This window comes from Homo sapiens, chromosome 4 (assembly GCF_000001405.40).
Source record: "Homo sapiens chromosome 4, GRCh38.p14 Primary Assembly".
NCBI lineage: Eukaryota > Metazoa > Chordata > Mammalia > Primates > Hominidae > Homo > Homo sapiens.
The window spans coordinates 97631953-97647858 of NC_000004.12; the positions used below are offsets into that span (position 1 = coordinate 97631953).

Sequence of the window (15906 nt, forward strand, 5' to 3'; positions counted from 1 at the left end):
TATCTTGAATAATAGATGCTTGTCCATCACATGCAAAAACACATTCCCAAATCAGAATACATTAATAAAGTATATCACATAGATTTAGTCTATATTCAAAAGAGATAAACATTAAAATACTCCTTAATCTAGGCATTTAGGAAGAATAAAATCTCTCTTTCCTTATTGATACCTTCAAAAAAGGTTAAAGTTAAAAGTAAGTTATCCTTTTTATGGCAATAAACTCCATTTCATCCTTAAAATCACTATCAAACTTAAAATATACAAGTAATAATAGATTTTTTTGTTTTTAGGTTTACTAAAATTTCACACAAATTTTAACAAGCTTATTGGTTTTTTTTTTTTTTATTTCTGAGCTTCCCACTGGCATGGGAAAAGTAAAATAGATCACAGCTATGTTTTACAAGGAAAAACTATCAAGCTGCAATAAAGACTAAATGTCTGTTAATGTTCATAATAATAAAAAATCTAATAAAATCATCAATTAGTATCACTATTTACTCATAATGTGAGAAGAAATTCTAATACCTAATAATGACTTTATGCCTTACATGTTTCAATAAAATACCTTTTTTTATAATCCTGAGTTCTTGCTCTGAAATGTAATGTACATATACACCAAATGCAGTTTTCAAAAAGAATGTAACACATTTATTGACTCACAGATATCAATATGCTTTATACATTCATAATTAATATGAGCCAACAAAAAATACTGTACCAGCCACCATGCTAAAGAATGACAATATGAGACTGCAGTGAGATACAGAATGTATTTTCAATGTGACCAAGACCAGGAAGGGAAGTGGAAATAGAACTAATTTCTCCATCAATAATATGGTGCTAAAATGTTGAAGTGATCAGAATAAGGTAAGTAAGCTTATATCCTATAATTAGAAGCTTATTAACATGACCTCAGACATTATCAATTATTCATTCAACAACAATTCAATTGGATGCTTATTATATGCCATGCACTGTTCTAATTATATTTAGAAGGGGGATGGAAAGATGGTAGATAGATGGCAGGTAGGTAGGTAGGTAGGTAGATCAATAGATAGACAGAGATAGATATTTCTCCCAAATATATAAGAAAATATTATCAACCATGTTACAATATGCATGCATGTGTATATGTACATGTGTATATATGTATACACACATCAGTTGTTTTAGTTTCTCTGCCATTTACATTCTTATAATAATATAATAATTGAATTGATCTAAAACTTATAGAAGGACTTGCCATTGGATGACAGTCTTTGATGCTTCTAAGTGTCAAATACAAAACTTTAACGTTTTATTAATTTTTCAGTTTTTATTGACTTAATTAAATATACAAATTAAAAAGTTGGAATATTGTTTGCTACAAACAAGCTGCCAAGAGAAAATTATATGTCCCTATATTAATGTGGCAATTCCAGGGAAAAATGAAAACATACTCAATAAAGTAATGAAATTTAATTCAAATTTCATTTGTTTATAAATGAAACATAAAAAGATATTTAAAATAAAACTGATTCACCTGAGGGAGGCGCCAAGATGGCCGAAAAGGAACAGCTCCAGTCTACAGCTCCCAGCCTGAGCGACGCAGAAGACGGGTGATTTCTGCATTTCCATCTGAGGTACCGGGTTCATCTCACTAGGGAGTGCCAGACAGTGGGCGCAGGTCAGTGGGTGCGCGCACCGTGCGCGAGCCGAAGCAGGGCGAGGCATTGCCTCACTCGGGAAGCGCAAGGGGTCAGGGAGTTCCTTTCCTAATCAAAGAAAGGGGTGACGGACAGCACCTGGAAAATCGGGTCACTCCCACCCGAATACTGCGCTTTTCCGACGGGCTTAAAAAACGGCGCACCACGAGATTATACCCCGCACCTGGCTCTGAGGGTCCTACCCCACGGAGTCTCGCTGATTGCTAGCACAGCAGTCTGAGATCAAACTGCAAGGCAGCAGCCAGGCTGGGGGAGGGGCGCCCACCATTGCCCAGGCTTGCTTAGGTAAACAAAGCAGCCAGGAAGCTCGAACTGGGTGGAGCCCACCACAGCTCAAGGAGGCCTGCGTGCCTCTCTAGGCTCCACCTCTGGGGGCAGGGCACAGACAAACAAAAAGACCGCAGTAACCTCTGCAGACTTAAATGTCCCTGTCTGACAGCTTTGAAGAGAGCAGGGGTTCTCCCAGTACACAGCTGGAGATCTGAGAACGGGCAGACTGCCTCCTCAAGTGGGTCCCTGACCCCTGACCCCCGAGCACCCTAACTGGGAGGCACCCTCCAGCAGGGGCACACTGACACCTCACACTTCAGGGTACTCCAACAGACCTGCAGCTGAGGGTCCTGTCTGTTAGAAGGAAAACTAACAAACAGAAAGGACATCCACACCAAAAACCCATCTGTACATCACCATCATCAAAGACCAAAAGTAGATAAAACCACAAAGATGGGGAAAAAACAGAACAGAAAAACTGGAAACTAAAAATCAGAGCTCCTCTCCTCCTCCAAAGGAAGGCAGCTCCTCACCTGCAACAGAACAAAGCTGGACAGAGAATGACTTTGACGAGCTGAGAGAAGAAGGCTTCAGACGATCAAATTACTCTGAGCTACGGGAGGACATTCAAACCAAAGGCAAAGAAGTTGAAAACTTTGAAAAAAATTTAGAAGAATGTATAACTAGAATAACCAATACAGAGAAGTGCTTAAAGGAGCTGATGGAGCTGAAAACCAAGGCTCGAGAACTAGGTGAAGAATGCAGAAGCCTCAGGAGCCGATGCAATCAACTGGAAGAAAGGGTATCAGCAATGGAAGATGAAATGAATGAAATGAAGTGAGAAGGAAAGTTTAGAGAAAAAAGAATAAAAAGAAATGAGCAAAGCCTCCAAGAAATATGGGACTATGTGAAAAGACCAAATCTACGTCTGATTGGTGTACCTGAAAGTGATGGGGAGAATGGAACCAAGTTGGAAAACACTCTGCAGGATATTATCCAGGAGAATTTCCCCAATCTACCAAGGCAGGCCAATGTTCAGATTCAGGAAATACAGAGAACGCCACAAAGATACTCCTCCAGAAGAGCAACTCCAAGACACATAATTGTCAGATTCACCAAAGTTGAAATGAAGGAAAAAATGTTAAGGGCAGCCAGAGAGAAAGGTCGGGTTACCCTCAAAGGGAAGCCCATCAGACTAACAGCGGATCTCTCAGCAGAAACCCTACAAGCCAGAAGAGAGTGGGGACCAATATTCAACATTCTTAAAGAAAAGAATTTTCAACCCAGAATTTCATATCCAGCCAAACTAAGCTTCATAAGTGAAGGAGAAATAAAATACTTTACAGAGAAGCAAAGGCTGAGAGATTTTGTCACCACTAGGCCTGCCCTAAAAGAGCTCCTGAAGGAAGCGCTAAACATGGAAAGGAACAACTGGTACTAGCTGCTGCAAAATCATGCCAAAATGTAAAGACCATTGAGACTAGGAAGAAACTGCATCAACTAACGAGCAAAATAACCAGCTAACATCATAATGACAGGATCAAATTCACACATAACCCTATTAACTTTAAATGTAAATGGACTAAATGCTCCAATTAAAAGACACAGACTGGCAAATTGGATAAAGAGTCAAGACCCATCAGTGTGCTGTATTCAGGAAACCCGTCTCACGTGCAGAGACACATATAGGCTCAAAATAAAGGGATGGAGGAAGATCTACGAAGCAAATGGAAAACAAAAAAAGGCAGGGGTTGCAATCATAGTCTCTGATAAAACAGACTTTAAACCAACAAAGATCGAAAGAGACAAAGAAGGCCATTACATAATGGTAAAGGGATCAATTCAACAAGAAGAGCTAACTATCCTAAATATATATGCACCCAATACAGGAGCACCCAGATTCATACGGCAAGTCCTGAGTGACCGACAAAGAGACTTAGACTCCCACACATTAACAATGGGAGACTTTAACACCCCACTGTCAACATTAGACAGATCAACGAGACAGAAAGTCAACAAGGACACCCAGGAATTGAACTCAGCTCTGCACCAAGTGGACCTAATAGACATCTACAGAACTCTCCACCCCAAATCAACAGAATATACATTTTTTTCAGCACCACATCACACCTATTCCAAAATTGACCACATACTTGGAAGTAAAGCTCTCCTCAGCAAATGTAAAAGAACAGACATTATAACAAACTATCTCTCAGACCACAGTGCAATCAAACTAGAACTCAGGATTAAGAATCTCACTCAAAACCGCTCAACTACATGGAAACTGAACAACCTGCTCCTGAATGACTACTGGGTACATAACGAAATGAAGGCAGAAATAAAGATGTTCTTTGAAACCAACGAGAACAAAGATACAACATACCAGAATCTCTGGGACACATTCAAAGCAGTGTGTAGAGGGAAATTTATAGCATTAAATGCCCACAAGAGAAAGCAGGAAAGATCCAAAATTGACACCCTAACATCACAATTAAAAGAACTAGAAAAGCAAGAGCAAACACATTCAAAAGCTAGCAGAAGGCAAGAAATAACTAAAATCCGAGCAGAACTGAAGGAAATAGAGACACAAAAAACCCTTCAAAAAATTAATGAATCCAGGAGCTGGTTTTTTGAAAGGATCAACAAAATTGATAGACTGCTAGCAAGACTAATAAAGAAAAAAAGAGAGAAGAATCAAATAGATGCAATAAAAAATGATAAAGGGGATATTACCACCAATCCCACAGAAATACAAACTACCATCAGAGAAAACTACAAACACCTCTACGAAAATAAACTAGAAAATCTAGAAGAAATGGATAAATTCCTTGATACATACACTCTCCCAAGACTAAACCAGGAAGAAGTTGAATCTCTGAATAGACCAATAACAGGATCTGAAATTGTGGCAATAATCAATAGCTTACCAACCAAAAAGAGTCCAGGACCAGATGGATTCACAGCCGAATTCTACCAGAGGTATAAGGAGGAACCGGTACCATTCCTTCTGAACCTATTCCAATCAATAGAAAAAGAGGGAATCCTCCCTAACTCATTTTATGAGGCCAGCATCATCCTGATACCAAAGCCGGGCAGAGACAAAACCAAAAAAGAGAATTTTAGAACAATATCCTTGATGAACATTGATGCAAAAATCCTCAATAAAATACTGGCAAACCGAATCCAGCAGCACATCAAAAAGCTTATCCACCATGATCGAGTGGGCTTCATCCCTGGGATGCAAGGCTGGTTCAATATATGCAAATCAATAAATGTAATCCAGCATATAAACAGAGCCAAAGACAAAAACCACATGATTATCTCAATAGATGCAGAAAAGGCCTTTGACAAAATTCAACAATGCTTCATGCTAAAAACTCTCAGTAAATTAAGTATTGATGGGACATATTTCAAAATAATAAGAGCTATCTATGACAAACCCACAGCCAATATCATACTGAATGGGCAAAAACTGGAAGCATTCCCTTTGAAAACTGGCACAAGACAGGGATGCCCTCTCTCACAACTCCTATTCAACATAGTGTTGGAAGTTCTGGCCAGGGCAATTAGGCAGGAGAAGGAAATAAAGGGTATTCAATTAGGAAAAGAGGAAGTCAAATTGTCCCTGTTTGCTGATGACATGATTGTATATCTAGAAAACTCCATCGTCTCAGCCCAAAATCTCCTTAAGCTGATAAGCAACTTCAGCAAAGTCTCAGGATACAAAATCAATGTGCAAAAATCACAAGCATTCCTATACACCAACAACAAACAAACAGAGAGCCAAATCATGAGTGAACTCCCATTCACAATTGCTTCAAAGAGAATAAAATACCTAGGAATCCAACTTACAAGGGATGTGAAGGACCTCTTCAAGGAGAACTACAAACTGCTGCTCAAGGAAATAGAAGAGGATACAAACAAATGGAAGAATATTCCATGCTCATGGGTAGGAAGAATCAATATCGTGAAAATGGCCATACTGCCCAAGGTAATTTACAGATTCAATGCCATCCCCATCAAGCTACCAATGACTTTCTTCACAGAATTGGAAAAAACTACTTTAAAGTTCATATGGAACCAAAAAAGAGCCCGCATCGCCAAGTCAATCCTAAGCCAAAAGAACAAAGCTGAAGCCATCACACTACCTGACTTCAAACTATACTACAAGGCTACAGTAACCAAAACAGCATGGTACTGGTACCAAAACAGAGATATAGATCAATGGAACAGAACAGAGCCCTCAGAAATAACACTGCATATCTACAACTATCTGATCTTTGACAAACCTGACAAAAACAAGCAATGGGGAAAGGATTCCCTATTTAATAAATGGTACTGGGAAAACTGGCTAGCCATATGTAGAAAGCTGAAACTGGATCCCTTCCTTACACCTTATACAAAAATCAATTCAAGATGGATTAAAGACTTAAACATTAGACCTAAAACCATAAAAACTCTAGAAGAAAACCTAGGCATTACCATTCAGGACATAGGCATGGGCAAGGACTTCATGTCTAAAACACCAAAAGCTATGGCAACAAAAGACAAAATTGACAAATGGGATCTCATTAAACTAAAGAGCTTCTGCGCAGCAAAAGAAACTACCATCAGAGTGAACAGGCAACCTACAAAATGGGAGAAAATTTTTGCAACCTACTCATCTGACAAAGGGCTAATATCCAGAATCTACAATGAACTCAAACAAATTTACAAGAAAAAAACAAACAACCCCATCAAAAAGTGGGCGAAGGACATGAACAGACACTTCTCAAAAGAAGACATTTATGCAGCCAAAAAACACATGAAAAAATGCTCACCATCACTGGCCATCAGGGAAATGCAAATCAAAACCACAATGAGATACCATCTCACACCAGTTAGAATGGCAATCATTAAAAAGTCAGGAAACAACAGGTGCTGGAGAGGATGTGGAGAAATAGGAACACTTTTACACTGTTGGTGGGACTGTAAACTAGTTCAACCATTGTGGAAGTCAGTGTGGCGATTCCTCAGGGATCTAGAACTAGAAATACCATTTGACCCGGCCATCCCATTACTGGGTATATACCCAAAGGACTATAAATCATGCTGCTATAAAGACACACGCACACGTATGTTTATTGCGGCATTATTCACAATAGCAAAGACTTGGAACCAACCCAAATGTCCAACAATGATAGACTGGCTTAAGAAAATGTGGCACATATACACCATGGAATACTATGCAGCCATAAAAAATGATGAGTTCATGTCCTTTGTAGGGACATGGATGAAATTGGAAATCATCATTCTCAGTAAACTATCGCAAGAACAAAACCCGAACACCGCATATTCTCACTCATAGGTGGGAATTGAACAATGAGATCACATGGACACAGGAAGGGGAACATCACACTCTGGGGACTGTTGTGGGGTGGGTGGAGGGGGGAGGGATGGCATTGGGAGATATACCTAATGCTAGGTGACGAGTTAGTGGGTGCAGCACACCAGCATGGCACATGTATACGTATGTAACTAACCTGCACAATGTGCACATGTACCCTAAAACTTAAAGTATAATTTAAAAAAATAAATTAAAAAAAAAAAACTGATTCACGTAAGAACTTCAAAAGTCTTAAGACAAAATTGTAGAATTCTTTGATATTTAATGAATTAAAATGGTTTAAACAAAGCATAGCTACATATTACGGTTGAAAGGAATACAAACATTTATAAATATATAATATTGAACATTGCAAATTATTCCAAAGTTTTTCCAGAATTTTTAAGGGTTTCTTCTGTGACAGCGAATTTGGGAAAACATGCGTTTAGTGATTATACACATAATCTATATTCTTTAAATCCCTATCAATTATTGGTTCCCAAAAGGAACCATTTGGGAATATGATGATGATAATAATAAAAATAAAACTAACAATAACAATAAATAATAGTAATGATAACAATAATAATGGAAGTTAATAACTATTTAGCCTTTATTCTACGCCAGGAGCTCTAATATTCACATATAGTAACTTATTTAACATTTTGTAGCAACCGTATGAGATAGGTTCATTTTTTGTTAACATGTTAATTATATAGTACAAGAGATAAATATAATGTAAAAATAAAAAATGGTTATTTAGGGTTTACTATGGGCTTAGTAGGAAATCTAAAGATGAGCTTGCCATTGACATGTGACACCAGTAGAAAGGCATGTTTATATAGAATGTGCCCAGAAAGTTTATTGGCCAAATAACTTCACTGAGTAAATGAACACACTTCCAAGAGAAGAACTAGAGTTGAAACTGTGGTTTCAAAGGAACAATGATCAGCATTTAAATTACTTAAAATGAAATCATAAATAAGTCTGTAATTGCAAAACTGAATGCCAAAGTCAAAATGCATTGTTGAAAGAAGTGATGCTATATTACATATATATTTTTTTAAGTTTGAAAATAACCTAACTTTAAAGGACTAATTAATTTACAAGCCAAAAATTGGTACAGAAAAGTGAACATTCTCTACAATAAGGAATTACTTAATAAATATTTAAAATGAGTCAATAATTTTTAACCTTTAATAAGGGAGATAAATCATATGATTTCATATTGATATTGATAATTTGACAAATATGGATTCAAGTGTTTTCATGTTCAAATAGTTAATGTTAAAACTAGTAGATTGAAAAACAGGATATACGGCATTCAAAACTCTAACTTAGAAAATAAAAGAGCCAAACAAACACAAAAATATTCAAAAGGTAAAAGAACATGAAGAAGTAAATATAAACAAAAAATTTATAATATATTAAATACAACACATATAAAATTGTTAAACTTTCATATTGAAAATTAAAGATTTAGATACGTTTCAAAACACATGTTTAAGTCAAAAAAACAGAGAATAAATAGTAAAATTTAGATACAGATATAGTCAAAGGATGGGTGGGAAAAAAGAGACACAGTCAAGAAAATAGGTTAAAAACAAGGTTAGGCATAAACATAGACTACATATCCTGCAAGATAAAGAATTATGAGGAACAAAAGAATACAGTTTTATAAAAGAAGTAATCTTATAATGAATATATAATGTCTATGTGAAACCTACTTTCAATAAATAAAGTAAAATATTAGCATCTTTCTCTCTAAAATTGGGGGAAAGGCAAAGCTCTCACCCTTTCTATTTGATATTGTGCTAGACATGATAGCCAGGACAACAAAGAAAGATAAAAGAAATAAAAGCTACACAATATTTAAAGCAAGAGGCAAAACTTCTCTTTTAGCACACATTATTATCAATGTAAAAAACCTAAGGAATATACAATGTAACTGCTAGAACTAAGAAGTTAATTTAGTTAGACTGTAAAATTTAAAATCAACATACACAAATAGGCCATATTTATATTATCAGAAAATAATTAAAAATAAAATAATTCTACTTATAATATGCATTAATCATATGAATCAATCCTTCAACATTAATGATACATCATAGCACTTATGTATACTCATGCATATATATAAACATACCCACACAGACATATATGAACATTCATATCTATCAGTTCTATTTTAGTTATTTCTATTGTGTCTGAAGCAGAACATGTTGTAACCAATATCAAAGATATAGAATATAATTTTAGCTAATTTTTGAATTCATTATAACTTTTATTATTTCACTTTATCAAAGACCATGACAGCAGAGCAGTTATACACAGATTTTTTTAAAACCTAAAACTCACTTCTTTCAACTTTTGTATGTCCAAATGGAAAAAAATGAAAAAAAAATTGAACATACATACAAATATATAGTACTATAATAAAAAAGGAAATTCATTGATGTCTTTTAAACAATATTTTATATTGCTTTATTTCTTATTTTTCTCCTAAGAAGTGTTTGCTAAAAGATGAAATAATGCCTACTAAATATCTCTTCCCTTATCTCTTTATTTGATAGTTCACTGTCATCAATACCTGGAGCAAATATGACATAAGAAAGTTGTAAGCATAGTTGTTTTTGATCAAAGCATGATTACATGCATAAAATAATAACACCTATTCTTTATTCTCCATGGTTTATTTGGCATTTAACTTATTATGCTCTAACCAATAAATCATAAAGTTGTTTTCTCTCCAAATTATTGTATTGGCAATAATGACAAATGAAAGTGACTTGCTTGTGACTTTTACTATGCAACATAAACAGATCCAAAGAAAATACATTAGACCTATTTGTAGAGTGTTTTATAGGAAGATGGAAACTGCAGATAAATATAAAAATAAAAATAAAATGCTCCCATGTAATATATTATTTTGTCTACATTAACATCAATAAACCTCATAATTCATACATTTTATATGTAGTATATGCCATTAAACATGCTTTATGAAATGAATATGCTTTATAAACTGAAAATATACTAATATTTTTAGTATCACATATTCTGTGATAAACATTGACATATTTAAGGTTTAGGAAGTACTATTGATAGCATTTATGATAAATAACATTTGGTAAAAAATATAAAATGTACTTTGCCATGAATTTTGATCTATAAATATTATTTATAACAAATCTGATAGAAATATTTACATATTATATCAACTTCTCAGGACCAAGGAAGTGAAAATATTTAATGCACATTCTATCTAATGTTAAATCATTTTCTAGAAAAATCAAAGCAGCATATAACTTGTTTTCATAAAGATCATGGTAAAATTTTAAGTTGTTTTACTGAATGTAACATAATTATTTTACTGATTTTAGTTATAAACAATTCACGTAGGCACAACGTTAATTCTCCATTTTTGAATTGCTGAACTTATTGAAAATATCACACAACCAATAAAATATAAGAAAATTCATGTTATATATTAACTTTTCTTACACGTTTATATGTTAGACTGCAATGGAATATGTAAACTGAAATTTTAGAAAAAAATAATCAAAACAAAAAAAGAAAATTAAGCCTTAGAGAACAATTGCCAAATAAATTCAAAAGAGCTGAAGAGCTCTGGAACTTTTCAGTAGTAAAGCAATATTAACCACGACTTTGAAAAATGCCTAGACCAGAATACTAATAAATATCTGATGAATGAATGAATCAATCAATCATGTGATTATGTATTTTTCCTTGGAATAATTATATATTTTTTCATGGAACTGCTAAAAATAACTCCTTATTCATTATATAACAGACATTTACTGAATGCATATTATATGCCAGAAATACTAGAATGTAACCTCATGGAGCTTTTAATCTAGTAGAAATTTTAATGGAAAAATTTTTAAAAAGAGGTTGTTCAATTTCAGTGAACAACCTTTTAAAGATATTGCCAAAATTATCTCCATTTTCTAACAGGCTATTTAAATTATTATGGAGAAATTCTTTGGTGCTGCTCTCACATTCAATGAAACAAACTCTATACATGCATTTAGGCATTAATAACTTCCTCTTTGTACAGTCACATTTTAGTCATATAGCAGTTTCCTGATGCATATCATCTTAATTTCCACCTAAGTAGTTTAAGTACAGCATTTTTGAAACAGATTTTGATACTCTTATGGCATCATAGAACAATAGTTTTATTTCATTTATTCTGCATATATAAGTAATCTCCAAAATACAACCATTTAACTCTTTAGCTCTGTAAGTTACTTTAAAGGGCTTATTTGCAACAACATTAAATATACAGTTGTGAGGCTATATATCCAGACATACTTATTAATATTAAATTGACTTTAAACTAATTTCCTTCTTTGTTTAAAGAACTCTTTCAGTTTACTTCTATAAGCATACATATCTAGCAGTGATTGAAGTTGTCTTATTGTGTCATTTCCAAAAGGGACTTTATATTACGAGTGTCTGATATTATAAGAGAATTTGAGATTCTTTTATTATAAAGAGAATTTTGGTAAAATTCACCTTATTTTTGGGCATAGTTACTTTTCCAACAATACCTATAGCCTACAAACTGGGCCTTACAAACTGGGAATCACCAGGAAATAAGTTATAGTAAATTTACCTCAAAGAAGGAGATGAATGTCTTTTAAACATGATTTTCAATCTTTCTAATCTCAAGTATTTTAAATTCTGAAAGTCTAGACTTGAATTGATATGGCAAAGTTCACCTGCCACCTGTCCAGTGACTTAAGAGAATGAAATTTAAAGAGGGGGTGATGCTTATTTGATGTAACCTTTGATCTTTTGACAAACCTATGAAAAACAAATAGAGCTTTAGGAAAACCTTTCCTTTTAAAATGGGCATGCTTATATATTATTTAAGAGAAGTACCTGAGTGACATATTTCTTTTGACAATAAAATGAAAAAAAATGTTTGTAAAGCATCTCAAACACATACAGCATCAGGATACATTAGTTTCTTTCCCTTTCAAAGAAAACCAAACACAAATTGTTACAAGAACTCATGGAGAAAATAAGTCTTCTGTCTCTCCCATGTCACTGCTTTTGACAAATGAATTACCTTTTGTTAGTCCCCAGCCAAACAAATAAGAACCTTAAAAGCAACAGATGAACACTCAACAAATGGATCATTTTTTGTGACAAACTGTCTGGAAGTTGTGCTGGAGGAATGTTTTATTATTTGATCAATGACTTGACGTGTCCTACCTTTTAATACCAAATGGAAAGAATCAGAAGGCAAGCAAACATCGCATGGCTCTAACCACTCATGGGAACTACTAGGGGACATTTGATTTTCAGGAGTTTGGGAACCCGAAACATAACATGATCTATTTTTCAATCAGGCAGATCTCACTTGGGAAAGGTGCAATGATGTTCAATATCCTTTCATTTTAAGAACAACCAAAGTGACTTACCAGAGCATAATTAACAGACCAGTAACATATCCTTTAGTATTCTAGTTTTCTAAAGCCTCCTTACTTTAAACTTTTGGTCAAGATAGGTAAAGTTACCTTGCTTCCCTCTTCTCAAACACAGATTTAAGAGATATTAAAGCTTTTGTCAGTGACAACACTAGATTTTGGATGCTGTTATTTTTTCCTTCACAATGTCATGCTCAAAATTGGATAAAGTGCACAAGCAAATTGCATGGCTCAGCAGTACTGGGAAAGCTAAAGGAAGCTGAGATGTGCTTTTTCTCATATTCTAAACGTACAATTATGAAATTTCTCTGATAACTTTAAAAACTAGCCTTAATCAAATATTATTTAGAGTATAACTTGGAGGTTATAAATAAACTGTTGCCTTTTTATGTAATCCAGAGGGACATAAAAGACAGATGGAGAACTGAGCATGGCCAATTGTTTTTTATAGCTACAGTTTAAAAAAAAAAATCCCCACTCACAAGGCAAAAAGCCTCTGCTACATGGCAGCTGCTGACTAGGGTGAGCAGAAAGTATCTTGCTGAAAAAAAAAAAAAAGAATTCAGCAGTACAGCAATGTGATTAGTTAAGCTCTATGGTGTTCCTCAGATAAAGGACGTGAAGCTGGAATTTTAAAGATAGAGTTCATAAAATAGTATCAAGAAGGCTTTTTATTTTGCCATTGATATTCTAAGAGACTGCGGCTATCAGAGTTGCAAATACTGTATCCAGAATCTTAGACTTCACTAGCTGCCTTTTAACCTTTGCCATGTGGCATATGAATGTGGCTTGTTTAGTGAATTTTATGACATAATTAATAGGCATTGTCAGAGATTCTCATTTATGATCATGGGGGGTTGGCAACCCTTTGTTGCTTTCATTCCAGACTCTGAGAAATTAGCCAGATGGTATGTCCTACCACCAAACTGCAATGTGGAAGACATCCTTCTCAGGACACTTTCAAATCCTTTCTGGCCAACTTCATGGCTTCTGCAGTAGTTAAATTAGTTACAGTTTTACTTAATTAGTTCTAACTGCATAGGTTGTTTATAGATTCCCTCTAAAACTTCACTGAGATAAAAATTAGTACTGTAAATAGTTTAGTTTTCTCACCTATATTTAACTTAGTGAAAAGACAACACAGTATACTACAAAAAGTTATCTCCATTATACATAAATTCCAGTCCAAACTCTGACACAAACACACTCCTTGAGCCCAGAGATCACTCTCACTCAGTTGCTTCATCTTTATAAATAAATATTGGGCTCAATGATCTGATTCTTTCCAACTAGAGAAGACCATGGGCTCTAAGTCTTCCCATGTGCAATCCATCACAAGCTCTATGCTGGTTTAAGTAGACCCTAACTTGGCTTTCAAAAATTAAAATATGTGGTTTTGAAGATTTGTGAGAGTCCTTGAAGTTCTATGACAAATAGCAATTTTTAGTTTTGCTTAGGAACAAATTTTATTTGCACACAGTGCAAGGCTATATGCAGGAAAGTAGGATTTATTATAAGAAAATCTAGTCCTCTATCCACCATTTGTATATCAATGTAGTTGCATGTTATCTTCTCATTATCAGTCTTATTACGGTTGCAAAGCGGCCACTTAATATTTTTCTTTTTTAGTATATCTTCTTTCATTTCATGAAGGAAATCAATAATGTAATATATCCTATTACTTTGAAAAATTAGTCTTTTATATAAAGTGTGAATTATACATTGAGGTTAACTGAACATAGATCTATAATGGAAACCAGGAACATTAGGACCTTTGGGAAATTCCCATATGCATCAATACATATAATTCATATCAGCATTTTCTAACTCCCCACCCTAAGCACTCACAGATTCCAAAAGCTTTGATGCTTTATGTGAACCAATATATACATATACTGTTTATTAATAAAGTTTATTGATTTATATTCTGTAAATTAACAGAAAATGTTTTCAACTGCTTAGTAAGTGATATACATTATAGTGTAAGTTATAATAATTTCAAAATCATTTGTTAATTTTTATAAACATTTGGTGTAATATTTTGTTTGACGTGGCCATCACTAAGTAATGCCTCTGTCTAGTCTATGATTTGACATAGAGAACTGCACCAAACTTTTCTGACATTAAATTTCTACCATTAAATTGACAGTTATTAGGTGCCATCTGGATAGTCATTAGGCGTCTCGATAAGCAGAGAATTTCTCTTCAGATCAATAACATTGTTCATAGTGCTGACTCTTCTTTCAGCTTCAACTAAATAGCAATGGCATGTAAATATTTTCTAGTCCAAGTCTGAGTTCCTTATATATTCAATTTTCTATCACCCACTAAAACATAACAATAATAAATCTGAATCTCACATTTAATTGGATTAAATGAATCATTCTGGTCAGATGAGAAGTAGCATAAATGCTTGTTGGGAGCATGGGCATGTTGCCAGGCTGCTTGAGTTAAAGTTCTGGCTCTGCCATTTAAGTTATAAATAAGCACTCAAATGCTTCAGTTTCCTTTCCTGTTGAATGAGCAAGACTCAAATGTCTTAGAATTGTGTCTGATCCTGGATTTATTGTTAATATCACTGCTATTAATGCCTGTGACTTGCTTTCATGTAGTGAATTAAATAGAGATGATATTTAACTGAGAAGGCTGAAAGCAAGAATTTGCACTTCTAACACCTCCTGGCCTGATATTACTACTGCAGCCTACCTCCATCCTCTGCTTCCTCCTCCTTTGCTAGAATCCCCACCCTGCCAGGAGATTCAGCAGTCCCTGGTCTTTGCCTGAGGCTGTCCCATTATCCCCTATCTTCCAGTTTGCTCCATTCTCTATCTGTCTATCTGCTTTCTTGGAGTCAAGGTCCCAAAAGGGGCTACAGTCTACTCAAGCACAATTTGAGGATGGTAAGGGACGGGCCAAGCAGTGGTGGGTGGCCACAACCTCATGGGGCCAAAATGACACTAAGCATTTGTCCGCCAAGATGCTAGCACTGTCTGTAGGAATACCACCTTTCCTTTTGGTATTTAGGTCTGTTCTGGGCAGAGGGAAACAGGTGTGAATGGGCCAGTCAAAGAGCTACAGTGAGCCATCTGGTAGTCCA

At 34.8% G+C, this 15906-nt stretch overlaps 1 protein-coding gene across 7 annotated transcripts in view, besides 2 other annotated features; it reads right to left on the reverse strand.

Moving 5' to 3' along the window:
* Positions 1 to 15906, reverse strand: part of STPG2 (sperm tail PG-rich repeat containing 2) — a 702228-nt gene that overhangs the window by 190704 nt on the left and 495618 nt on the right. The window lies entirely within an intron of this gene.
* Positions 1215 to 1799: an enhancer, noted in NCBI's record as "NANOG-H3K27ac-H3K4me1 hESC enhancer chr4:98554318-98554902 (GRCh37/hg19 assembly coordinates)". NCBI's record gives its function as "activates a minimal SCP1, AML or CMV promoter by ChIP-STARR-seq in primed H9 embryonic stem cells {active_cell/tissue: H9 hESC(primed)}" and the evidence as "EXISTENCE:reporter gene assay evidence [ECO:0000049][PMID:30033119]".
* Positions 1800 to 2384: an enhancer, noted in NCBI's record as "NANOG-H3K27ac-H3K4me1 hESC enhancer chr4:98554903-98555487 (GRCh37/hg19 assembly coordinates)". NCBI's record gives its function as "activates a minimal SCP1, AML or CMV promoter by ChIP-STARR-seq in naive H9 embryonic stem cells {active_cell/tissue: H9 hESC(naive)}" and the evidence as "EXISTENCE:reporter gene assay evidence [ECO:0000049][PMID:30033119]".